Consider the following 22215-nt stretch of genomic DNA (forward strand, 5'->3'; position numbering starts at 1 on the left):
AAGTATCCCATTGGATGGAACTCTGTCTTGTGTCTTAGCATTGCACAGAGCTCCCAACATAGCACTGGCATAGCTTGCATTCCAGCAAGCATCTATTGAGTGTCTACTGCATGGAAAATTCCAGAAGTTTCAAATCTAGTTGGGGCTTAGATGGGTCCTCACATACCTGTGTTCTCTCTGTGTTCTGGATAAGGGCTAAAGCAGGTTCAGACCAGAGTGTGTGTGTCTGTTTGTGGTGTGTGGGCGTGGGAGAGGGTTGTAACCAGGGCACCCTTTCTGCTTCTGCCCAGTAAAGACCCATCAGCCTGTGCTTGGGGCAGAGAGGTGTGGCCCTGTCTTCCGGGGACACCAGGCCCTGAGCCCAGGTGCTGTGCTCCCCCTGCAGGCTGCGTCCAGTTCCTGCAATATTATTACCAGAGGGGCTGCCTCTACCGGCTGCGGGCCCTGGGGGAGAGGAACCACCTGGATCTCACAGTGGGTGAGTAGCTGGGCCTGGGTTGGAGCCGGGGCAGGTACTGGACCTGCCAGCTCCCCACACCGGGAGTGCAGCCCTGCGAGCACCTCCCATACAGCGGAGCCAGGCCGCTGCCCTTTATCCGAAGCGCCTTCCAGAATTCATCCTGGATTCTGTTTCAGCTGCCAAGTGCCAGGCCAGCTGCATACCAGGCCCCGAGGGCAGGGCCTCTGTCTCAGCCTCTGGAAGTGTCTATTTTTTTGTGTGTGTTCTAGAATACACACACACAAATTAGCCATTTGTGTGTAACATGTCTACATACCAACACGTATAAGTATATAAATGCATGTACACGGGGGAGACATGCCTCACTCTGAAGCCATAGGAGTGCCAGCCAGAAAAGTGAGGAGACACCTCATTGAGAATTTCAGGGGAAACTGTTTTTAATACAACTCTGCTATCTTTTTTTTTTTTTTTTTTTTTTTTGAGACGGAGTCTCACTCTTGCCCAGGCTGCATTGCAGTGGCACGATCTCTATTCACTGCAACCTCCGCCTCCCGGGTTCAAGTGATTCTCCCGCCTCAGCCTCCTGAGTAGCTGGGATTACAGGCATGTGCCACCACGCCCGGCTAATTTTTGTATTTTTAGTAGAAATGGGGTTTCACCTTGTTGGCCAGGCTGGTCTCAAACTGCTGGCCTCAAGTGATCTGCCCACCTTGGCCTCCCAACGTGCTGGGATTATAGGCGTGGGCCACTGCACCTGGCCAACTCTGCTGTCTTTTGACATAGTCATTTCCATCAAATTACTCTCCTAAGTAGGTCCTCCTGTCTCAAGACTCGATAGAACTAATGCATGTGAAAATTCATTATAAAATGCAAAACCCTGTGCAGATTAAAGAAATTAGTAACAACATAGCGCCCAGTGTCTGTGTGTTGTCACCTGGCTCTTGGTGGCTTGAAGAGAGAGAGCAGTCAGGCCAGGTGACAGGGTTGCTATTGTCATAGTGAATGCCCACCCAGCTATGACAGGTGAGGGCTGACCCCCCGCATGTGTGACTGTCCCTGGCTCATCTTAGGGTGACTGGTGTGGCTGGGGGTGGGCGTCTGGTGGAGCTGTGGGGGCAGCGGACCCCCTCAGCGGGTCCTTTTTCTTCCCTCCTCTCCACAGAAGGGTTCCAGTCCTGGATGTGGCGGGGCCTCACCTTTCTCCTGCCCTTCCTCTTCTGTGGCCATGTGAGTCCCCCTGGAGTTTGTGGGTATCTCCTGTCTGGGCTGACCCCCAGGAACAGAAGGTCTTCAGGCCTTGCCCTCCTTCTCCATCCGTCCCCATGCTGGGGCCCACAGCATCCTGGGGCCGGGGCAGCCTCTGGGCCCAGGGATGCCAAGGCAGGAGCCAGAACTGACCTAGCTCTGCCCTGGCCTCGGGTGCCTGCATTTCATTTTGGGGGTGTCTGTCAGTGTTGTGGGTAGTTGATACCCAAAGTTGGGTGAGGGGCCTGGCCATCACCCTGGCTTTCTACGTGGCCGGCCAGGGGAGTCTGGTGGGTGAGCAGCGCCTGCCTTCCTCTCCAGTTCTGGCAGCTCTACAATGCCGTCACGCTGTTTGAGCTCTCCAGCCACGAGGAATGCAGAGAATGGCAGGTATGGGGGGTGGGGGCATGCTCGGGGGAGGTTCCCGGGAGGGCTGGGGTGGCAGGGATGGGGTGTATGTGTGGCATGCTGGGGTGCGGATTCCTGGGGAGGGCTGGGATGGCAGATGTGGGGGTGGGGTGTGTGCGTGTGTGTGGTGTGCTGTGGGGAGGTTCCTGGGGCGGGCTGGGCTGGCAGGTGTGGGGTGTTGTGGGGGGCCTGCTTGGCGGGAGGCTTCTGGAAGGGCTAGGGGTGGAGCCTCTCCCAATCTGTGGATCCCAAGGAGGTTCGCCCCATCGAGCCCTTCCCAGGCCCTGCCCAAGCCTGAGGCCTCACCCTTCCCCCAGGTCTCCTGAATCTCTGCCTTCGATGGCAAAACCCTGCAGTTTGGGAGTTTGGGGGCAGCTGTGCTGGAGATTCTGGGGTGCTGGGGGCAGGGGTTCAGCAGGGCAGATGCCCCAGCCTCGCCCTCCTCTCTGGACTCCCCCAGGTGTTCGTACTGGCGTTCACCTTCCTCATCCTCTTCCTCGGCAACTTCCTGACCACGCTCAAAGTCGTGCATGCCAAGCTCCAGAAGAACAGAGGCAAGACAAAGCAGCCGTGAGCCTCGGGCTCCTGTGCCCTCGGCCCGGACTTCAGACTGCAGGGGGCTCCCGGGCTCCTTCCCAGCAGCCCTCTCAGGCCCGTGGCATCGCTGGGAGAGGGCCCAGGCCCTGGTCCCCCAGTGGACCCCAGTGGTCTAGAGGAATGTGAGCCCCGCCTGTCCGCACAGTGTCCGCCCACCTATTTATGACATATTTAATGCTGGGTCCCCCATCGTCCCTGGAACCCGAGGCCTCACTCCTGTGCTTGAAGGTGGCTGAGGCCGGGCCAGTCTTCCTGGGGATGGGGCCTGAAGCCTCAGGGAGCCCCTCTGTTCCCACTCCTGTCATTTGAACCCCTCTGGGTGGGGTTTGGATGTGCCTCGCGGGGTTGGATTTATGCTGACCTGCTACTTACCAGGCCCAGGCTGGGGTGGTGTGAACCCTCAGTGTCCTGTGGCGCCCCCACCCCGGGGCCACTCTGCTTCTGCTGTGAGCCCCCTCCTCGCCCACCCCGCCACGTGGTGAGGGTTATTTTAAGTTCTCAGAGACCCACCGCGTCTGCCTCGTGCTCTTCTTGCCCCTGGAGCGCTGGGGGCATCCTGAGTCAGGCTGTGAGAAGATTCGCCACCAGAGGGCGCCCCGGGCCCTGGGTCGTCCAAGGGGACAAGGACGTTCCCGTCTGTGCTTCGGGGTTCCCTGACCCCCCCATCCTGCAGCCCACCTTCCTGCAGTGTCGTGGCAGGTACTTGGAGAGTGGGACCAAGACCCTTGGCCCCTGTGGAGGGGAACCACCTCCCCCCTCCTTCCCAGAGCTTCTGGATGTTGTGGGAGGGAGGTGGGGGTGCCTGGCAGGCTCACCCCCAGGGGCCGCACCCTGAGGCGGGGTCAGAGCCACTGGGCATCGCTTGGGTGAGATTCTGCATTCGACGGGAGGCAGAGAGGCCACCAGGTTTGGCTGAGTGCTCTGCCCCACCATTCATATATGGGCCTCAGCTCCCCCTAACTGTGGCCCTACAAATCCCTAGGCCAGACCTCACAGCAGTGCCCACAGGCATGCCTTGTTTAGCCCTCCTCAAGGAATTTTAAAATTTTTAATTACTTTTTTTTTTTTTGAGACAGGGTCTGTTGCCTAGGCGGGAGTGCAGTGGCATCATAGGTCACTGTAGCCTCCGCCTCCAGGGCTCAAGGGATCCTCCCACCTCAGCCTCTGGAGTAGCTGGGACCACAATCACACACCACCATGCCCTGCTCCTTTTTTTTTTTTTTTTTTGAGATGGGAGTCTCGATCTGTTACCCAGGCTGGAGTGCAGTGACACAATCTCAGCTCACTGCAACCTCTGCCTCCCAGGTTCAAGTGATTCTCCTGCCTCAGCCTCCCGAGTAACTGGGACTACAGGCGCGTGCCACCATGCCTGGCTTTTGTTTTGTTTTGTTTTGTTTTGTATTTTTAGTAGAGACAGGGTTTCACCATGTTTGCCAGGATAGTCTCGATCTCTTGACCTTGTGATCTGCCTGCCTCAGCCTCCCAAAGTGCTGGGATTACAGGTGTGAGCCACCATGCCTGGTCACCCTGCTACTTTTTAATACTTTTTAGTAGAGATGGGGTCTCACTATGTTGCCCAGGCTGGTCTCCAACTCATGGGCTCAACTCATCCTCCTATCTTGGCCTCCCAAAGCGCTGGGATTACAGGTGTGAGCCACTGTGCCTGGCCTGATTACATTTTTAAAATGAGATTTCCCCACCCCTACAGTGAGATTCCACATAAAAATCCAGATTTCTGCTTTCCCTAGAAAAACGGACCTGGCAACATTCCCGTGGCACAGGACGCCTACTCTCCAGTTGCCACAGGCCCTGCCACCCCCCTGCCCTTCATTCTGGTCTCCTTTCTGGTCCTTTTTAGGCACCTGCGTTTGCCCTAGATTAGGAGTCAGCTAGCTGTCTGTAAAGGGCCAGATGGCAACTATTTTGAGCTTTATGGGCCAGGTGGTTTGTGGCAGCTACTCTTCACCTGCAGCCCCAGAGCACAAGGCAATGCAGAAAGGAATGGGTGTTGCTGTGTTCCAATAAAACTTTATTTACAAATCAGGCTGTGGCCAGATGTGGCCCACAGGCTGTAGTTGTTGGACCTCTACCGTAGACCATCATGAGGCCTGGGGTTCTTCGAGAACAAGAACTCCTTGGTTGATTCCCCAGGGTACGGCAGGGCCTTGGGAACCTGGGTGGGTTGGGGAGGGTCTCAGAAGGCTCCTTCCTTTGGCAACCTGACTTCTTGGAAGCTCAGGTTTAGCTGACGCCCCAGCACTGGGCCAGGGGGGCTGAGGCAGGAGATATGGGGAAGGCTAGGAGTTGCCTGAAGCCATTATCCCATCTTAGGCGACACCGACTCCTAGGCGCCCTCCAGAGCCAAGCAGCTTGCGACTTCTGGTAGGCACCGGAATCCCCTGGGATGCTTGTTTTAAAAGTCCTGGGCCGGGCACGGTGGCTCACGCCTGTAATCCCAGCACTTTGGGAGGCTAAGGCGGGTGGATCACGAGGTCAGGAGTTCAAGACCAGCCTGGCCAACATGGTGAAACCCTGTCTCTACTAAAAATACAAAAATTAGCCGGACGTGGTGGTGTGCGCATGTAGTCCCAGCTACTCAGGAGGCTGAGGCAAGAGAATCGCTTGAACCCAGGAGGTGGAGCTTGCAGTGAGCCAAGATCATGCCACTGCACTCTAGCCTGAGTGACAGAATGAGACTCTGTCCCAAAAAAAAAAAAAAAAAAAAATTCCCAGACCCTCGGCCCCAGACCTTCCCAAAGGAGGCTCAGGGATTAGGTATCTGGCTGTTGGTGACACAGGTGGTCTATGAACCAGTTCTGAGAAACTGTCCCGCGTGGACAGGGGGTAGATCCCATCAGTTCTCAAAGGAGGCCAGGATGTCTCGCCTCCTGAACTCCACAGGCTGGTAGAAGCGGGGCTTGAGGGACAGCAGGTTGGGAGCTTGAGGACTAAGTGGGCCAGTCCTGTCCTACCACAGTGGGGGGAACAGTCCACAGAAAACTTGCTCATGACCACACTGGGAGCCGACTGTTCTTCCCATCCCAAGTCTCTGACACTGGGGGCTTTGGGTGAAACCTTAAGGAGATGGTCAGATGGGTGGTCCAGGGTATACTTTTAACAACTGAGAAGCCATTTTTTCTGCCCCCTGGGCACATGTGCCCAGCTCTGCAAAGACAGTGGCCAAGTTGAAGACAAGTCTTCCATGTGGGGTGGAGATGGGAGGGGTGGGTGCCAGGCTGCAGCCTGTGTCCTCCTGATAGGCCCAGCCCCCTCGGTGGCCTCCGTGTTCCTGGGGGAAGGAAGGAAGGAGCTGGAGGATACAGTGGTGCCTATCTCGGGAGCCCAGGGAGGCAGGGACACAGGAGTGGCAGGCTTGGGGCGCCCGCGTGGAACAGTGCCAGGTCTACGTTTACCCACTACCAGATAGACTTTTTCATTTCAAGCATAACTTGAGTCTGCACTGGGGAGACACTCGTGGTGGGGGTGGCTGTGATGAGGGCACTTGCGAGTCCCGACAACAGACACTGGCTCCTGCACCCACATCACCACCATGTCCCAGGGGCAGCCTGGAGGGGAGTTTGTGGTCAGAGCCCCAGCCAGGAAAGGAGAGAGTTCCAGAATGTTCCAAGAGTCTAGCCGCAGGCCCCAGACACCATGAGCTGGAGGGTCGGGATGGGGCAGCCTCCCTGGTGCAATCGGCACCTGGGCCCCCGGGCCCTGTCAGTGCTGTCGTGAGGTCTGTCTGCCCTGGGTCAGAGCAGCAGGCAGAGCCGGCGCTTCTTCTGCCGTTGCGCCTTCTTCAGAGCGCTGAGAGCCACCTTGGCGGCCTCCCGGAAGACGTCCTCCACATTCTCCCGAAACTTGGCGGAACATTCCAGGTAGAGAGCAGCTCGGATCTGTTCGCAGGCGCTCAGGCCCTGGGTGGGGGGAGGAGCCAGCATTAGGTGAGGGGCCCCTGGAGGTCTCCTAGCACCACCTGGTGGGTTTGGGACTGGCTCTGAGGACTCTGCAGGGATGGAGGCCTTGGTTTGGGCCTGTCTGTCTCCTCCATCCTGGCTGCCCCTCACAGTGTGTGGGTGGAATGGAGGGCCAGGGCAGTGCAGCCCGCAGGTTGGAAGAAGCCCTGTCCAGGCCCCCACCCTGGCCTCTCTCCAGCTCCGGGCAGGGAGGGGCTGAATCCTGAGACCCGGGGTTGGTTCCCCCAGGTGTCTCCCAGGCCTGTGAGAAGAGTTGGAGGCCTCAAGACAGAAAGGACTTCCAGCCACCTCTCTCCCTTCTCTGAAAGTACCATTTAGGCAAATTAATTTGCCCTTTTATTTATTTATTTTTGAGATGGAGTTTTGCTCTTGTTACCCAGGCTGGAGTGCAATGGCGCGATCTTGGTTCATCACAACCTCTGCCACCCAGGTTCAAGCGATTCTCCTGCCTCAGCCTCCCGAGTAGCTGGGATTACAGGCATGCGCCACCATGCCCGGCTAATGTTGTATTTTTAGTAGAGATGGGGTTTCTCTCATGTTGGTCAGGCTGGTCTCAAACTCCCAACCTCAGGTGATTCGCCCGCCTCGGCCTCCCAAAGTGCTGGGATTACAGGCGTGAGCCACTATGCCCGGCCGGATTTGCCCTTATTAATGGTTATTTCTTGTGAAAGTTTCTTTTTGCCTTTGCATTCCTTTTATTCTGTTTATTCCCCCATGCCTCACCCAAAGAGTTGCACGGTCAATTGGCCCGTGAAGGGGACGCCTACTTTCAAACAAGGCAGACAGGACACGACAGGACGGCGGCTCATAGCACAGACTTTGGATTGCAGTGGATGGGACCAGATCCTGGCTCCACTTCTCGCTAGCTGTGTGGCCCTGGGCAAGCTGCTTAACCTCTCTGGGCCTCAGTTTCTCCCCCTGTAAACTGGGGGATGTGAACAGCGCCTGCCTCCGAGTCCTAAGGATTGGGAGTAGTCGTGTAAAGTGCTCAGGTCCACAGGCCATCAATACTAATAGTTAAAAATTATTCTTAGAATCTTGCTTCCCTCAGCTCCCTGAAAGGCCACTAAGGCACCCCAGTTGCAGAGGCCAAAGGTCCGGGAGGCTTCACAGCCACGGCTGTGCCCCAGGGTCTTGGCCCCGGCCCACCTGCATGTAGGTGATGGGCTCCAGCTGGGCGGCCCGGAGCTTCCGCAGCTGCTCCTTGTCCTTCCTCAGGTCTGTCTTGCAGCCGATGAGCACCATGGGGATCCCGCGGCAGAAATGCGTGACCTCAGGGAACCACTGTGGAGGGAGGAGGCGGGATCAGGGGTGCGGCCGGGCCCAGATGTGGGGCCACCACCCAGGAGGCCGGCCTCACCTTGATGAGGACGTTGTCGTAGCTGGTGGGATTCATGACGTCATAGCAGATGAGCACGAGGTGGGTGTTCTGGTAGGACAGGGGCCGCAGCCGGTCATAGTCTTCTTGCCCTGAAAGCACAGAGCAGCGGGGGTCAGGGGACGTCCCCTCCCTGTCTGGACTCTGACGGGTGAAGGGGAAGGGGCCAGGCAAGTGACCCTGCCTTAGGGCCTCAATTTCCTCATCTATACAATGGGCAGCAAGCCAGGAGTGCTGGCACAGGCCTGTGGTCGCAGCTACTCGGGAGGCTGAGGCCGGAGGATCGCTTGAGCCCAGGAGGTCAAGGCTACAGTGAGCCGTGATCATGCCACTGCACTCCAGCCTGGGTGACAGAGCGAGACCCTGTCTCTTAACAACAAAACCCATGAGCGGCAGCCCCCCAGTCCTGGATGGTGGTAAAGAATCCTCAAGATCAAACCCACGCAGTGCTGAGAGCTTGGCCTGATTCTAGGGCTGGGGCTGGAGAAACTGCTAGAGATGATGCCGATAGCCAGTGTGATCCCCCTGCCCTGATGGTCAAGGGCAGAGTGCAGACTGGAACCCTCCCCTCCCCAAAGATTCAGACCTGTGGGGCTGAGTGGGCTCATAGTGTCCCCAAGTCCTGAGAGGCTGGTGTCTGGCTTCAGCCTCCAGCTTCTCAGGTTCTGATGCAGTCAGCTGAGTTCCCTGCCTATTCTTGCAAGCACTAGGAGGAGGGTGGTGGGTTGCTGGGAACAGCACCGAGCGCCCTCCCCACCCAGATTCACAGAGCACACTCCCTGGGGGGATACTTTAATCCGGAGGCCGTGACGCCTGGCTCCGCCCCGAGACGAGCTGAATCCAAATACGGATCTAGGCTTGAGCTTGGTTGGGTTTGCTTTTTTCTTCTTCTTCTTTATAAACAATTCTTTGTAACTTTTTGTATTGACAGTTTCAAACTTACAGTAAAATTGCAACACGAGTATGAAGAGCTCTCTGACTGTGATTCACCACCTGTTTGCATTGGCCCCTCTGACTTTATCTGGAGACAGACACTTCTGTTTCTCCCTGTCAGGGCACGGTAACTGTAGACATCTGCCTCTTCACCCCTTAGCTCAGCGCCTATCTGCTGAGAACAAGGGCGTTCTCTCCCCTGCCCCAAGCCCCCAGAAACCGCATGGACTCTGCATTCTAATCTGATCCACAGACCATAGTCAGATTTTGACCATTTCACCAATATTGTCCTTTATTTTTTTCCCCGTTGAGGAGCCAGCCCAGCCCAGGGTTCTACACTGCACTTAGTCATCCTGCCCCGGTATTTTTTTAAAATCCCCACAGTGAGAACTGAGAGCTTTTCAGGCTCATTGGTGACCAGCCCCCCGCCCCTCCACTTCCTTCCACTGAACAAGGAACGTGGAGGCCCAGGAATCCCCCTGCCCTGTCCGCAGCTGTTGCAGGTGCTGGGTGGCACCAGCCTGCCCCCCGTTCCTTCTCTGCCAGACACCTCTCAGGACAAGTGGCCTCTCCACGGAGTACCACCAGGCCATGTCTGCTCCTAACCCCTTGCTGGTGATGGGGCATGGCCACCCTCTCCCCACTGGATCCCCCTCAACCCAGGGACCTCCAAAAGTCTTCAGCCAGCTCCCCCATGGAACAGTGCTTAAGGGTGAGGTCACTAGAGACAGATGAGACACATGTTCAAATCCCAGCTCTGCCCTCACTGGCTGTGTGACCTTGACTTAGACAGGACAGTGGTGGGAGTCTTGGCTTCCCCATCTGGGACATGAAAATCATAAAATCTACCTCACGGGGCTGTCACCAGCCAAGGCACACCATTGCACTCCAGCCTGGGTGACAAGAGCGAAACTCTGTCTCAAAAAAAATAAAAATAAAAATAAAAAATGAATTAACATAAAGCATTCAACGCCTCAGTTGCACAAGCCTCATTTCAGGTGATGAACTGCCGCCCGGGGCTCATGGCTAATGCAGTGATTGGGGCAGGTGCACGGCATTTCCTCCACTGCAGAAAGTTCTACTGGACGGTGGGCCCCTGTCTACTGCTGGCCACCCCCCGCCCCTACACCATCCTCATCTAAGTCCTCGTCTGTCCCTCTTCCCTGCCTCCTGCAGCCCTTTGATGAATCCATTATCCACCTGACAGCTGGATGGATCTTAAAACACAAGTCATATCCTGGCCCCCTCTCCACAACTGAAGCATCTTCAATGGCTCCCTATTGCCCCCCCCCCCACCTTTTCTTTGAGACAAGAGTCTCGCTCTGTCACCCAGGCTGGAGTGCAGTGTCCCAATCTCAGCTCACTGCAACCTCTGCCTGCCGGGTTCAAGCAATTCTCCTGCCACAGCCTCCCAAGTAGCTGAGATTACAGGTGCTTGCCACCATGCCTGGCTAATTTTTGTTTTTGAGACAGAGTTTCGCTCTTGTTGCCCAGGCTGGAGTGCAATGGCGCGATCTCGGCTCACTGCAACCTACACCTCCCAGGTTCAAGTGATTCTCCTGCCTCAGCCTCCCGAGTAGCTAGGATTACAGGCGCCCACCACCACACCCAGCTAATTTTGTATTTTTAGTAGAGATGGGGTTTCTCCATGTTGGTCAGGCTGGTCTCGAACTCCCGACCTCTGGTGATCCACTCACCTCGACCTTCCAAAGTGCTGGGATTACAGGGATGAAATTTTTGTATTTTTTAAGTAGAGATGGGGTTTTTGCCATCTTGGCCAGGCTGGTCTTGAACTCCTGACCTCAGGTCATCCACCTGCCTCGGCCTCCCAGAGTGCTGGGATTATAGGCATGAGCCACCGTGCCTGGCCCCTATTGCCCTTTGCATAAAATCCAAACATCTCCCCTGGTTCACATGACTTCATCGCCTGCCACACCCGCTTGCTCACTGCAGTCCCGCCAAGGCACCATCTCACTGTTTCTCAAACCCACCAAGCTCTCATGTCCCAGCCTTTGTGCTTGCTGTTCCACATGCCAGGAAGGTCCTTCCCTCATTTCTCTTTTCACCGTTTTCTCTCTAGCATTTTATTCTTAAACATCCAGATTAACCATCTATATTTTTTCCCTTTTGAGGATAACTGCCTGCCCTCTGCGACTGCCTTTATAATAATACATCCTATACTCTATGCAGTTTTCAGGGTGCTTTAGTCTAGAAATGGTTAAGAAATCCTTGGTGAAGCGTGGTGGCTCATGCTTGTAATCCCAGCACTTTGGGAGGCCGAGGCAGGGGGATCACGAGGTCAGGATTTTGAGACCAGTCTAACCAAGATGGTGAGACCCCGTCTCTACTAAAAATACAAAAATTAGCTGGGTGTGGTGGCAGGTGCCTGTAGTCCCAGCTACTCCAGAGGCTGAGGCAGGAGAATTGCTTGAACCTGGGAGGCAGAGGTTGCAGTGAGCCGAGATCGTGCCATTGCACTCTAGCCTGGGTGACAGAGCAAGACGTCGTCTCAAAAAAAAAAAAAAAGAAAAAAAAATCCTTACATGACAGCCAGATATGGTAGGGAAATGATGAATACTCCCACAACATAGGAAGAACCTGAGAGTCACAGAAATGAAGTGATTTGCTTGAGGTCAATGACTCAGTGACTGGGCCAGGAGTCAACCCCAGCTCATGAAATTCCAAGTGGGATGTTCCTTCTGCTGATACACACTAACGTGCTATTTTGTTTTGTATTGTGCAAAAATAGGTTCTGGTCCTTTAAGATGTAACAATGGGGTTCACAGTTCTGGCATAACTTATTCCCTTTTACAAATATGGCCGGAGTGAACAGGTACATTAGTCCCCCTAACCCACAAGGGTGGATTCCAAGACCCCCAGTGGATGTTTGAAACCACAGTCTAGAACTCTAGATACGCTGTTTTTTTCTATATGTACACACCTATAAGACAGCTTAGTTTATGAATTAGGCACAGTAAGAGATTAACAACAAGAATAAAATAAAACAGGGCCAGGCACCGTGGCTCACACCTGTAATCCCAGCACTTTGGGAAGCCAAGGCGGGAGGATCACTTGAACTCAGGAGTTCAAGACCAGCCTGGCTTGTTACCGAGCCAGCTACTGACTGACTCACAGGCAGGTGGTGTCTCCAGCAGGGATACACAGAGGAAGGGGCGAATCATATCCCGGGTGGGATGCAGCAGGACAGCGCACGATCTCATCACGCTGCTCAGAGCAGTGCATGATCTAAAATTTATGAATTATTTCTCGAATTTTCCAGGTAATATTTTCAGACCTCAGGTAACTGAAACTACAGAAAGTGAAACCGTGGATAAGGTTATAAAATGGGGCCCCCTTGGACGTCTTCTCTCATTTCTTTTTTTCTTTACTTTTTTTTTTTTTTTTTTTTTGGAGACAGGGTCTTGCTCTGTTGCCCAGGCTGGAGTGCAGTGGCACGATCTCAGCTCACTGTAAGCTACGCCTCCTGGGTTCAAGTGGTTCTCCTGCCTCAGCCTCTTGAGTAGCTGGGACTACAGGCAGGTGCCACCATGCCTGGCTAATTTTTTTTGTATTTTTATTATTTTATTTTATTTTTGAGACGGAGTCTCACTCTGTCACCCAGGCTGGAGTGCAGTGGTGCGATCTCAGCTCACTGCAACCTCCGCCTCCCGGGTTCAAGCGATTCTCCTGCCTCAGCCTCCTGAGTAGCTGGGACTTGACAGGTGCCCGCCACCACACCAAGCTAATTTTTTGTACTTTTAGTAGAGACGGGGTTTCACTGTGTTAGCCAGGATGGTCTCGATCTCCTGACCTCGTGATCCGCCCACCTCAGCCTCCCAAAGTGCTGGGATTACAGGTGTGAGCCACGTGCCCAGCCTTTTCTTTTCTTTGTTTGTTTTGAGACAGAATCTCACTCTATCGCCCAGGCTGGAATGCAGTGGCGTGATCTCGGCTCACTGCAAACTCCGCCTTCTGGGTTCACGCCATTCTTCTGCTTCAAGCCTCCAGAGTAGCTGGGACTACAGGCGCCCACCACCACGCCCGGCTAATTTTTTTTTTATTTTTTTAAGTAGAGACGGGGTTTCACCGTGTAAGCCAGGATGGTCTCGATCTCCTGACCTTGTGATCCACCCGCCTCGGCCTCCCAAAGTGCTGGGATTACAGGTGTGAGCCACAGCACCTGGCCTTTTTTCTGTATTTTTAGTAGAGACGGCGTTTCACCATGTTGGCCAGGCTAGTCTCAAACTCCTGACCTGAGATGATCCACCTGCCTCGGCCTCCCAAAGTGCTGGGATTACAGGCGTGAGCCACCATGTCAGCCAAGGTTGTTCCACTCTCGTCACACACAGCAGAGACAAGGGTTGAGACTTGCCCACTGGGTTTGGCAACTATGGCATGCAGTGACATCAGGACAGGAGGTGGCGGGGCAGGCATCAGGCTGCAGTGGGTGAGGGAAGAAGTCAGCCCCGGGGCGCTGGAGGCAGTCACACCCTGCCTGCCTTTCCTGGGGCCTCTGCCCTTGCTGTTCACTCCTCCAGAAGGCTCTTTCAACAGGGAGCAGTGTGGCTCCTTCCCTCCTCTCCTTCAGGGCTCTATGGAATGTCGCCTCCTCCCAGAGACCTTTCCTGACTGCTCTGAAACAGCTTCCTTGGCAGTCTGCCCCATGACAGTGGCTTTACTCATGGCTCTCACCCCTACCTGATTTCACAATACTTCTCTGGGGCCGGGCGGGGTGATTCACACCTGTAATCCCAGCACTTTTGGAGGCTGAGGCAGGTGGATCACTTGAGGTCAGGAGTTCGAGACCAATCTGGCCAACATGGTGAAACCCTGTCTCTACTAAAAATACAAAAAACTGGCCGGGTATGGGGCCAGGCACGTGTAGTCCCAGCTACTTGGGAGGCTGAGGCTGGAGAATTGCTTGAACCCAGGAGGCTGAGGTTGCAGTGAGCTGAGATCGTGCCATTTCACTACAGCCTGAGGAACACAGCGAGACTCTGTCTCAAAACAAAAACAAAAATCAAAAACAAAAAAAACAGTAATTCTCTGGGTTTTTTGGTTTGCCTCTCCTGCGGGCAGGAACCACCTCTGTGCTGTTCACTGTTGGGTCCCTGGGAACACAGGCGAGCTCAATACCTGTTTGGTGAAGGAAGGCTCAAAGGAAGGAGTGGTTGAAGAGGGTTAATCGTCATCTCTCTGGCTTTAGGTGCCCTGCAGCCTTGGCAAGGGCATTCCACTTCCTGACCTGTGTTCATTCAAGCAGCCACCCTGGGAGGTGCGCTGGGTGGGGACAGTTCTTCCTGTTAAGAACGCAAGTGGTGGAGGGGGCCTTTGTCAAGGTCAGAGACAAGCACCCTGTGAGCCAGAGGCCAACCAGTCCCCAAGGTCAGCTGCCTGCCAGGCCATTCTAAAAGCACCAGTTCTTCCAGGAAGCTGTCCCCAGCCTTCCCAACCGGGAATTAACCTCTGGGCCTCAGTTTTCTCATCTGTGAAATGGAGATGTGAAAAGTGAGCGAGCCTTGATGACAGTCATAATAAAGATGGTTAATATCGACTCTCTTTCTCTCATATAAAAGTCATGGTCTAGACCGGGCGCTGTGGCGCATGCTTGTAATCCCAGCACTTTGGGAGGCTGAGGCGGGCGGATCGCTTGAGGTCAAGAGTTCAAGACCAGCCTGGGCAACATGGTGAAACGCTGTCTCTACTAAAAATACAAAAATTAGCCGGATGTGGTGGCATATGCCTGTAATCCCAGCTACTTGGGAGGCTGAGGCAGGGGAATCACTTGAGCTGGGGAGGTGGAGCAGAGATTGAACCACTACACTCCAGCCTGGGCAACAGAGTGAGACTCTGCCTCAAAAAAAAAAAAAAAAAAAGGGGGGGGGGGCGGGGTTTGCTCTGTTGCTCAGGCTGGAGTGCAGTGGTGTGATCATAGCTCACTCCAGCCTCAACCTCCTGGGCTCAAGCCATCCTCCTGCCTCAGCCTCCTGAGGAGCTGGGGCCGCAGGTGTGTACCACTGTGTTACATGCCAGGTCTAGCTCAAAGCCCTTCACCTGGATTAACTCATCTTTCCCCCAAAAGCCCTACAAGGTAGACACTATTGTTGGCCCCATTTTACAGGCTGAGAAACGGAAGCACAGAGAGCTGGAGTGACTTGCCCCAGGCCACACAGCTAAGGGGAAGCTTTGTAAATAACAGAGGACCTTACTGGAGTATTTTTTTTTCTTAGCCTACCCCAGAAAACAGGAAGGAATCCTCACCCTACTTGTCCCAGCCCTGACCAGGTGAGGAAAAATGTCAGCCCTCTCAAGAAAGAGGGCCTCTGGAAAGGGAGAGGCAGCCAGCTCCGACTCCAGCACCTCCTCCAGGTTGCCTTCCTGGCTTGACTCTGCCCAACCCAGCTTTCCCTAGAATTCAGTGTGGGCCTTTGGGGCGTGGGGGTGGTGGGGGGACCAGGCCTGCAGAGGACTACTTCCGTGTGCACCAACCCCATGCCCACTTGGGGATGGGGGAGCGTACTATTAATAAATACCTTCTCTCATATGAGTCAGGAGGGTCAGGTTCCATTCACTCATGCACATTCTGGGCAGGACTGTTCAGGGCAGCCTCCACATCTCGAATTGACGCCCACATTTCCCTCTCTGGGTGTCAATTTCCTTATCTGGGAGAGGGGGTGATAACAGTGATAACCCTCCCCCTAATCTGGAAGGTGAAAGCCCAGGAGAAGGGAGGCAATGCTTAGAGCGGGAGCAGTGCAGGGGCAGGGGTGGAGTGGGGGGCAGTGCCGGGAGGCAGGAGGACTGCTATTGTGGTTACTGTTGAAACTTCCAGGAGAAGTTAATAGCCTGGCATGGTGGGTGGTCAGAACCCCAGAATCTTTGGACCCAGAAGCTTCAGGGGCCTCCCAGCCACCAGGTGATACCATTACCCTCCACATTCTACCTAAAATGATACCAGGGCTGAAAGGGTCCATGTCACCTGCCCGTAGTCACAGAGGGGGCCCATCCAGCCTCTGCAGATGGGCTTAGAGGTTAAAACAGCCCAGGTAGACCAGGCGTGGTGGCTCACACCTGTAATCCCAGCACTTTGGGAGGCTGACATGGGAGGATCACTTGAGCCCAAGAGGCTGTGGCTGCAATGAGTTATGATCATGCTATGGCACTCCAGCCTGGGTGACAGAGCGAGACCCTGTCTCTAACCATTCCCCACCTCAAAAAAAAACCCAGGAATTACATGCAAAGGATGCACGTGCTTCTGGTGAGGAAGTCTCTAGGCCTGGGCTCCCCCTAGAGCCGCCCATCGTCCTGACGTGCACTCAGGCGGTGCGGCAGGGCTGGGCGGAAGGGAGGCTCATGCCGCACACAGGGCTATTTTCTTGGTGGGATGAGGCTTTGCCAAGGAAGTCCTGCTTCCAGGGACAGGGGTCTCTAAGGCCCAGAGCAGAGTTGAGGAAAAAAGACCTCAAATCTGCAGGAGGACACACAGGGCGGGTGGACCCCAGCTCCAGCTGCGGCGTTGGTCAGGGAGGGGTACTGGCAGCATGAGAAGTGAAGCTGCCAGAAGAGGAACCCACTTTTACTCACTCTGCTGGGGGCCGCCCACCTGTGCTTTCCCAGGGAGACAGGGGCTGGGCAGCCCCAGCTGGGAGTTGAGACCACCTTCTGGGTGACCCCAGCCTTGTCTCAGCCCAGGCCTCCGGTGCTTCTGGGGCTCACAACACACATCTGTCCCTGGTTCCTTGTCTTAGCAAATCCTACTCCATTGCCTAACAATTTTCTTTCTGTTCCCATCTCAGGCTGAAAAGGGGACCACCGCTCCCCGGGCAACCCCTATCCCATCCTGTGCCCCTCTAACCCTGGACCCCACACCTTGGCCCTGATGAGCTCACTCTCCCGTCTGTGTCTTCACAGCCCACCTCACCCCGCCTCCCCCGGCCCAGGAAACTTCAGACTTCACCGCAGCTTCCTGCCTCAGAGGATGTCAGGGCCCCGGTGAGGCCGACAGAGCAGTGAGTGCCATGGCCCCCGCCCCTTCCCTTCTGAGCCCTGCGAGCCCCGTCACCCGATCTGCCCTCCCTCCGCTGTGGTGTCTGTAACTACTTCCTCAGGAGGGAGACAGCCACACGGGCCTTCCACGAGGGCCCCTGTGGGCAGCGTCCGGCCCCTGCCCAGGACCAGCGTTTGGTCCTGGGTGTGGAGAAATTCAGCCTCTGAGAGCCACCCCTGTCTCACAGCTCTGGTGGCCACCAGTCGGGAAGATGCCCCTTCCGCCACTGTGTGTGGCCCATTGGGTTCTAGAACTTTCTACAACTACGTTTACTAGACTCATTTCTGGCTTGGCCATTCCCTCACCCTCTTGGCCTTTGCCTCTCTCTACGTGGCCGCCTGGCCATGGCTTTCTGTCCTGTTCTCCTGAGAGCCGTCCACCTGCAGGCCGAGATGAATCATCTCCGGCATTCGGATCCACTACCCATTCATTCCATCACCTTCCAGGCCTTGCTCCATGACAAGCACTGGGACCTGGGCTCTCCCTGGTGGCACTCACTGACCAGGGGATTTCCTCCTATGAGCAAGCCTTCCCTGGTCACGGGGGGATACCCTACAGGGAGCAGCCAGATCTCTTCTCCCTGGGTGCCCCTCCTTGGGGTCTGTCAGACTGTGAGGCTAGCCACCTCCCCTGAGCCCTGCTTCTCTGCTGCTTGGAAGAGACTTGCCAGGGAAGATAGATCTCCCCGCTGCAGCAGGGTCTGGGGGTCAGCTTGGGGCATGGCACCGTAGATTCCAAAGCACAGGCTTGAGCTAGGGCTGGGCAGGGATGGTAGGAGGATCTTTTTAATTTTTTTTAATTTTTATTTTTTGAAACAGGGTCTCGCTCTGTTGCCCAGGCTGGAGTGCAGTAGCGTGATCTTGACTCACTGCAATTTCCGCCTCCTGGGTTCAAGCAATTCTCCTGCCTCAGCCTTCCGAGTAGCTGGGACTATAGGTATGTGCCAACACGCCTGGCTAATTTTTATACTTTTAGTAGAGACGGGGTTTCATCATGTTGCCCAGGCTGGTCTTGAACTCCTGGCTTCAAGCAATCCTCCTGCCTCAGCCTCCCAAAGTGCTGGGAGATGTAGTCTCGCCCTGTCACCCAGGCTGGACTGCAATGGCACAATCTCGGCTCACTGCAACCTCTGCCTCCCGGGTTCAAACGATTCTCCTGCCTCAGCCTCCCGAGTAGCTGGGATTACAGGTGCCCACCACCACACCCAGCTAATTTTTGGATTTTTAGTAGAGATGGGGTTTCACCATGTTGGGCAGGCTGGTGGACATCATATATTAATCTGATTTAATCCTCATGACCCTCTTAGTGCTCATGACAGATCAGGAAACTGAGGCCCAGACATCCCCAATGATACGTAGCCAATAGAGCTGGGGTCAAAGCCCAGATCTGACTCCAAAGAGGATGGCAGGAACAGGATGGGACCATGGATGGGATCCCCATGGTGCCAGTGGTCGCCTGCTTCTGGTGACTGTAGCAGGGGATGCTCCTCCATCCCTCTGGTAGCAGCTCTTAGCACAAATTCTTCCTACAGCAACTTGCAGCTTTCCAGAATCTCCACAACTCAATCTACTCTGACATGTTCCTTGAGCATCTCTCTCTGGGCAAGGCCAGAAAGGCCATCCCTGTTCTTATGATGTGGAGGCTGCCCTGAACAGTGAACCCCGGGACCTGATAGGGGAGGCCCTGATGGCAGAGGAGGAGGAAAGAAAAAACCTCCTGACCTCTTGCAGGGCAGTGGGTTGCTGTGAATGTCTCCACCCAGCAGCACTTGACTCAAAAAGTGGGTCAATGACCTTGCCCCTCCCTGGCTACTGCACAGGAAACATGAGAGTAAAGGTGTCCCAGACCATGACTTTTACTACCCCCGGGCCACGCCCCGGGAATTCCTCTGATGCCTCAGCTCTCCCAGCTCACCAGGGGCTAGAGACAGGCGCTGTTTTGGGGTTGGCCCTACAGGGCCCACATCCCACAAAGACAGGTTCCTCAGAGGCCACGATAGGACCTGCTGAAGTCGGAATGGAGGGGGGCTCTGAGCTAGGACAGCCCCTTTTCGGGTCCTCTCCAAGGTCTAGGTGGGGGTGGAGGTGTCTGGATTTTGGCTCCATCCTAGGTCAGTGTCTGACCTCACCTCACACACACAAGGCTTGGCTGGCCGGAGAGGGCCACCGGATGACGTGGTTCCCTGCAGGTCACTAAACACTGAGTCACAGAGGTGGGGTGAGGCCCCACCTGGGGATCTCAACCTTTGGTCCCCAATGTTGATGAAGCCCAGATGGGAGTCAGGGTCCTCCCACTGACTGTTTCTCCTGTCCCCACCCCTCACAACACCGACTCCCAAGCAATTGCACATAAATCCGTAAACCACCCGTGGGGGCCTGCAGGTGGCAGGCAGAGCCTGGTGTGGGGCCCCTGCCCCCAGTGCTCTGTTCCTTCCTCAGTTCATTTTCTACACTGTCTGGTTTTGTCCCAGGGAACTAGGAAAGCACAGAAGTAATTGTAGCCACGCAATTCCAGAACCACCAACTGCAAGCCGTGGAATCCTGGGAGCTGCAGACACAGAACTCGCATCCACAGGACCCCAGAGCCTCAGGCTGCAGAGCGCAGGCCACAGAGCCCTGGAGCCACAGGCTGATCTGCAGCCGGGAGCATCCCAGAACCACAGGACCCAGACACACAGCCCAGGCAATCCGAGCACCAAGGGACTCAAATCTGCAGCTCACAGAGTCTGCAGAGACCACAGCAGGTAGCGCAGCAATCCTGGAACCATGGGAGGCCCAAGAGCAGCCCACTGCTTTCTAGAACCACAGGAGAGGAACGAGCTGTGGGCTCTCAGCACAGAGCTGGGAGGGTGGCCCCAGAGTTCACCTCCTCCTCCAAACACCTTCCACTTACGTATAGGGCTTGGCCTCTAGGGCCCCGCAGCCAGCGCCCCTGAGCGGCCTCCAGGAGTGAAGAGCCGGCCAAGGCCCTGCCAAGGCTGCAGGGCGGGGACACCCAGTGGGGGACGCCCGGGAGGGGAAACCCTTCGGGCGGGCGGACCCTCGGGCCCCCCGGCGCGCAGGCGCACTCACCGGCCGTGTCGTAGAGGTTCAGGGTCACCTCCTTGCTGCCAACGGTCACGCTGGCCGTGTACTTCTCGAACACCGATGGGGCGTAGTGCTGCGGGAGAGGGGGTCGGGTTGGTCCTTAGTGGGGCCGGCGGGGGCCAAAGTTCCAGCTGAATCCACTGTCCACCCCCCTCACTCGTCCCGGATCAGCCCCCCCTCACCCCGCTGGGCTCTGGAATTCCCGAGGGGGCGCCCCGGGGTGGCGGCCGCCTGTCCGTGCTCGGGACGCTGGGGACTGAGGGTCGGGGCTCTGGGCTCAGGGTAAGGGGCGTCCCTCGCCCCCACCCCAGCCCCGCTGCGGGCCTCACCTCGGGGAAGGAGCCCTGGCTGTACACCATGAGCAGCGAGGTCTTGCCGCAGCCGCCGTCGCCCACGATCACGATCTTCAGCTCCTTCCTGCCCGGACCGGGGGCGGCGGTCTGGGCCAGGGCCCCGGGGGCATCCATTGCCCGGAGCCCGCAGCACTGGCGGCGGCGCGCCGGGCACTAGCGGAGCCAAGAGGTCGGGGGCGGGGCGGGGCCGGAACCAGCCCCGCCCACTCGGAGCAGCGCCGCCTCCGCCAGGCAGCCTCCCGGCCGACCTCCCAGCCTCAGTTTCCTTTCTGCTAAGGTCTCAGCCCTGGGTGTGGGTATTCAGCTCTCAGTCCCAGGGATACTGCAGCACCGGAAAAACGGGGCTCAGCTGCGAGCAAAGCTCCCACCCCCAACCCACCGCCACCCTCCGCGCGTCACGTCGCGCCCCTCGCCGGCGAGACCCGATCGTGGCTGCCCAGCGACTCCAGGTGCCCCTGATTAGCAGGCTCCGCCTTCGGCAGGGACCCTCTGATTGGCTGGCGCGGCCAGACAGGGTCTCCCGGATTGGCTGGCTGTGCCTCCGCACCGGGTTCGAGAAGCCCCCGGCCTCCAGCTCCGGGAAGAGCCCCTCAACTTTGCACTGCCCCAGCGGTGTGGCTTGGCACATGTCCGCCTCTGGCCTCAGCTTCCCCACAGGAGGTAGCGGCGGTGGCACCAGGGAAGATGCTGACGCGAGAGTCATGTCTGCCCACCTCGCCTGGGCCAGGGACGCCAGCGTGCACGCGGGTTCGGGGTGAGGGACTGGGCTCCGCTTACCCGCACCCCGACCCTGGGCTGCAGGGTGGACGTCTGACGCCCTCTGCCGGGCAATCGCCTCGGCGCCGGCCGCTCCGGGCGCAGGTTGGCCCGAAACCACTAGGGGCGGCCGCCTCCTTCCGGCAGGAGCCAGAGGCGTGAACCACGCAAGACGTCGTCAGGGAGGGGCAGGTTGGAGTAGCTCTAGTTGAAGTCAACTTGGTCCCTCTCCTGGAGCTTTGGAGACTGATAACCCCACACCCACCAAGAAATGTAAGAAAATGCGTTTCCTTGCCAGCAGCCACATGTCCTTCATCCCAGGAATCCCCCCAACTCTCCCATCCCCTGATCAAAACAGCTTATTTGTTGAGCACTTACTGTAGGCAGTGCTATCAGGGCTGCTGGCTGAATTACCCGTAACCCCCACCCCTCCTCTTACTCCTCACCCTGGGCGGGCTGACTGCCCTCTGCACCACCCAGATGAGTCGACAGGGTGGCAGAGGGACCCCCCCCTGGAGCCGGTCCACGGCAGACAGGCACGAGAGCATGGCCGAGAGTGGGATCCTACCAGCTGGGGTAGGAAGAGCCCATTTCTAACAAAACCCCCAACAGCAGCATGGTTGGGGGCAAGTGGCCTTCGTAGTTTCCTCAGATAGGGGCTGGCAGGACTCAGGATCTTTTTGCTGGCGACCCCACCCCGAAGACTCCCAGTTTTCAAGGTCTCGGCAAGGGTCATGTAAACCTCACTTCGTGGAGGAAAACCGCCAACCTGGCAGTTCCATGGTCAAGGTTCTCACAGTGCAAGCAAGGCACGGTCTGACCACCAGAGGGCAGCAGCGACCGCCCACAGAATCCCAAGACCACAGCAGAGCTGGGAAGGGGAGGCCGGGGAGGCACCCCAGGTTCTCAGTGGACGCCCTCTTCAGGCACTGGGCAAAGGGTAATCTCCTGGGTCAAGCACCCCCTAGACAAATG

General features: G+C 56.5%; 3 protein-coding genes across 3 annotated transcripts in view, besides 16 other annotated features; 2 read left to right on the forward strand and 1 right to left on the reverse strand.

The window, feature by feature from the left end:
• TMEM120B (transmembrane protein 120B) overlaps positions 1 to 9033 on the forward strand; it is a 69317-nt gene extending 60284 nt beyond the window's left edge. Inside the window, exons 9-12 of the mRNA NM_001080825.2 lie at positions 386 to 478; positions 1623 to 1687; positions 2027 to 2095; positions 2574 to 9033. Of these exons, the coding sequence (NP_001074294.2) occupies positions 386 to 478; positions 1623 to 1687; positions 2027 to 2095; positions 2574 to 2687 (341 nt within the window). The 3' untranslated portion in view covers positions 2688 to 9033. The remainder of the gene's footprint in view (positions 1 to 385; positions 479 to 1622; positions 1688 to 2026; positions 2096 to 2573) is intronic.
• Positions 247 to 296: a silencer, noted in NCBI's record as "silent region_4987". NCBI's record gives its function as "represses an Ori minimal core promoter by ATAC-STARR-seq in GM12878 lymphoblastoid cells {active_cell/tissue: GM12878}" and the evidence as "EXISTENCE:reporter gene assay evidence [ECO:0000049][PMID:35858748]".
• Positions 1948 to 2242: a silencer, noted in NCBI's record as "tiled region #8824; K562 Repressive non-DNase unmatched - State 23:Low". NCBI's record gives its function as "represses a minimal TATA promoter and a strong SV40 promoter by Sharpr-MPRA in K562 cells {active_cell/tissue: K562}" and the evidence as "EXISTENCE:reporter gene assay evidence [ECO:0000049][PMID:27701403]".
• Positions 4719 to 20653, reverse strand: RHOF (ras homolog family member F, filopodia associated). Its single transcript, NM_019034.3, has 5 exons — positions 20461 to 20653; positions 20117 to 20204; positions 8048 to 8157; positions 7837 to 7971; positions 4719 to 6627 (listed from the first exon to the last, which is right to left on the reverse strand). Exons 1-5 carry the CDS (start codon positions 20596 to 20598, stop codon positions 6463 to 6465), a joined length of 636 nt encoding a protein of 211 aa, NP_061907.2. The 5' UTR covers positions 20599 to 20653; the 3' UTR covers positions 4719 to 6462.
• Positions 5931 to 6449: an enhancer, noted in NCBI's record as "H3K4me1 hESC enhancer chr12:122216872-122217390 (GRCh37/hg19 assembly coordinates)". NCBI's record gives its function as "activates a minimal SCP1, AML or CMV promoter by ChIP-STARR-seq in naive H9 embryonic stem cells {active_cell/tissue: H9 hESC(naive)}" and the evidence as "EXISTENCE:reporter gene assay evidence [ECO:0000049][PMID:30033119]".
• Positions 6450 to 6968: an enhancer, noted in NCBI's record as "H3K4me1 hESC enhancer chr12:122217391-122217909 (GRCh37/hg19 assembly coordinates)". NCBI's record gives its function as "activates a minimal SCP1, AML or CMV promoter by ChIP-STARR-seq in naive H9 embryonic stem cells {active_cell/tissue: H9 hESC(naive)}" and the evidence as "EXISTENCE:reporter gene assay evidence [ECO:0000049][PMID:30033119]".
• Positions 8878 to 8937: an enhancer, noted in NCBI's record as "active region_7182". NCBI's record gives its function as "activates an Ori minimal core promoter by ATAC-STARR-seq in GM12878 lymphoblastoid cells {active_cell/tissue: GM12878}" and the evidence as "EXISTENCE:reporter gene assay evidence [ECO:0000049][PMID:35858748]".
• Positions 8978 to 9047: an enhancer, noted in NCBI's record as "active region_7183". NCBI's record gives its function as "activates an Ori minimal core promoter by ATAC-STARR-seq in GM12878 lymphoblastoid cells {active_cell/tissue: GM12878}" and the evidence as "EXISTENCE:reporter gene assay evidence [ECO:0000049][PMID:35858748]".
• Positions 14319 to 14368: a silencer, noted in NCBI's record as "silent region_4988". NCBI's record gives its function as "represses an Ori minimal core promoter by ATAC-STARR-seq in GM12878 lymphoblastoid cells {active_cell/tissue: GM12878}" and the evidence as "EXISTENCE:reporter gene assay evidence [ECO:0000049][PMID:35858748]".
• Positions 16225 to 16941: an enhancer, noted in NCBI's record as "H3K4me1 hESC enhancer chr12:122227166-122227882 (GRCh37/hg19 assembly coordinates)". NCBI's record gives its function as "activates a minimal SCP1, AML or CMV promoter by ChIP-STARR-seq in naive H9 embryonic stem cells {active_cell/tissue: H9 hESC(naive)}" and the evidence as "EXISTENCE:reporter gene assay evidence [ECO:0000049][PMID:30033119]".
• Positions 17068 to 17137: an enhancer, noted in NCBI's record as "active region_7184". NCBI's record gives its function as "activates an Ori minimal core promoter by ATAC-STARR-seq in GM12878 lymphoblastoid cells {active_cell/tissue: GM12878}" and the evidence as "EXISTENCE:reporter gene assay evidence [ECO:0000049][PMID:35858748]".
• The window catches only part of SETD1B (SET domain containing 1B, histone lysine methyltransferase), a 42502-nt gene continuing 37406 nt past the window's right edge, over positions 17120 to 22215 (forward strand). Inside the window, exon 1 of the mRNA XM_047428553.1 lies at positions 17120 to 19788. The gene's annotated coding sequence lies outside the window, so the exon portion shown is untranslated. The remainder of the gene's footprint in view (positions 19789 to 22215) is intronic.
• Positions 17218 to 17417: an enhancer, noted in NCBI's record as "active region_7185". NCBI's record gives its function as "activates an Ori minimal core promoter by ATAC-STARR-seq in GM12878 lymphoblastoid cells {active_cell/tissue: GM12878}" and the evidence as "EXISTENCE:reporter gene assay evidence [ECO:0000049][PMID:35858748]".
• Positions 19724 to 20555: an enhancer, noted in NCBI's record as "H3K4me1 hESC enhancer chr12:122230665-122231496 (GRCh37/hg19 assembly coordinates)". NCBI's record gives its function as "activates a minimal SCP1, AML or CMV promoter by ChIP-STARR-seq in naive H9 embryonic stem cells {active_cell/tissue: H9 hESC(naive)}" and the evidence as "EXISTENCE:reporter gene assay evidence [ECO:0000049][PMID:30033119]".
• Positions 19724 to 20567: a biological region, named in NCBI's record as "H3K4me1 hESC enhancer GRCh37_chr12:122230665-122231496".
• Positions 20028 to 20567: a silencer, noted in NCBI's record as "silent region_4989". NCBI's record gives its function as "represses an Ori minimal core promoter by ATAC-STARR-seq in GM12878 lymphoblastoid cells {active_cell/tissue: GM12878}" and the evidence as "EXISTENCE:reporter gene assay evidence [ECO:0000049][PMID:35858748]".
• Positions 20561 to 21101: an enhancer, noted in NCBI's record as "H3K27ac hESC enhancer chr12:122231502-122232042 (GRCh37/hg19 assembly coordinates)". NCBI's record gives its function as "activates a minimal SCP1, AML or CMV promoter by ChIP-STARR-seq in naive H9 embryonic stem cells {active_cell/tissue: H9 hESC(naive)}" and the evidence as "EXISTENCE:reporter gene assay evidence [ECO:0000049][PMID:30033119]".
• Positions 21048 to 21097: an enhancer, noted in NCBI's record as "active region_7186". NCBI's record gives its function as "activates an Ori minimal core promoter by ATAC-STARR-seq in GM12878 lymphoblastoid cells {active_cell/tissue: GM12878}" and the evidence as "EXISTENCE:reporter gene assay evidence [ECO:0000049][PMID:35858748]".
• Positions 21642 to 22182: an enhancer, noted in NCBI's record as "H3K4me1 hESC enhancer chr12:122232583-122233123 (GRCh37/hg19 assembly coordinates)". NCBI's record gives its function as "activates a minimal SCP1, AML or CMV promoter by ChIP-STARR-seq in primed H9 embryonic stem cells {active_cell/tissue: H9 hESC(primed)}" and the evidence as "EXISTENCE:reporter gene assay evidence [ECO:0000049][PMID:30033119]".

Source organism: Homo sapiens, chromosome 12 (genome assembly GCF_000001405.40).
Source record: "Homo sapiens chromosome 12, GRCh38.p14 Primary Assembly".
Lineage (NCBI taxonomy): Eukaryota > Metazoa > Chordata > Mammalia > Primates > Hominidae > Homo > Homo sapiens.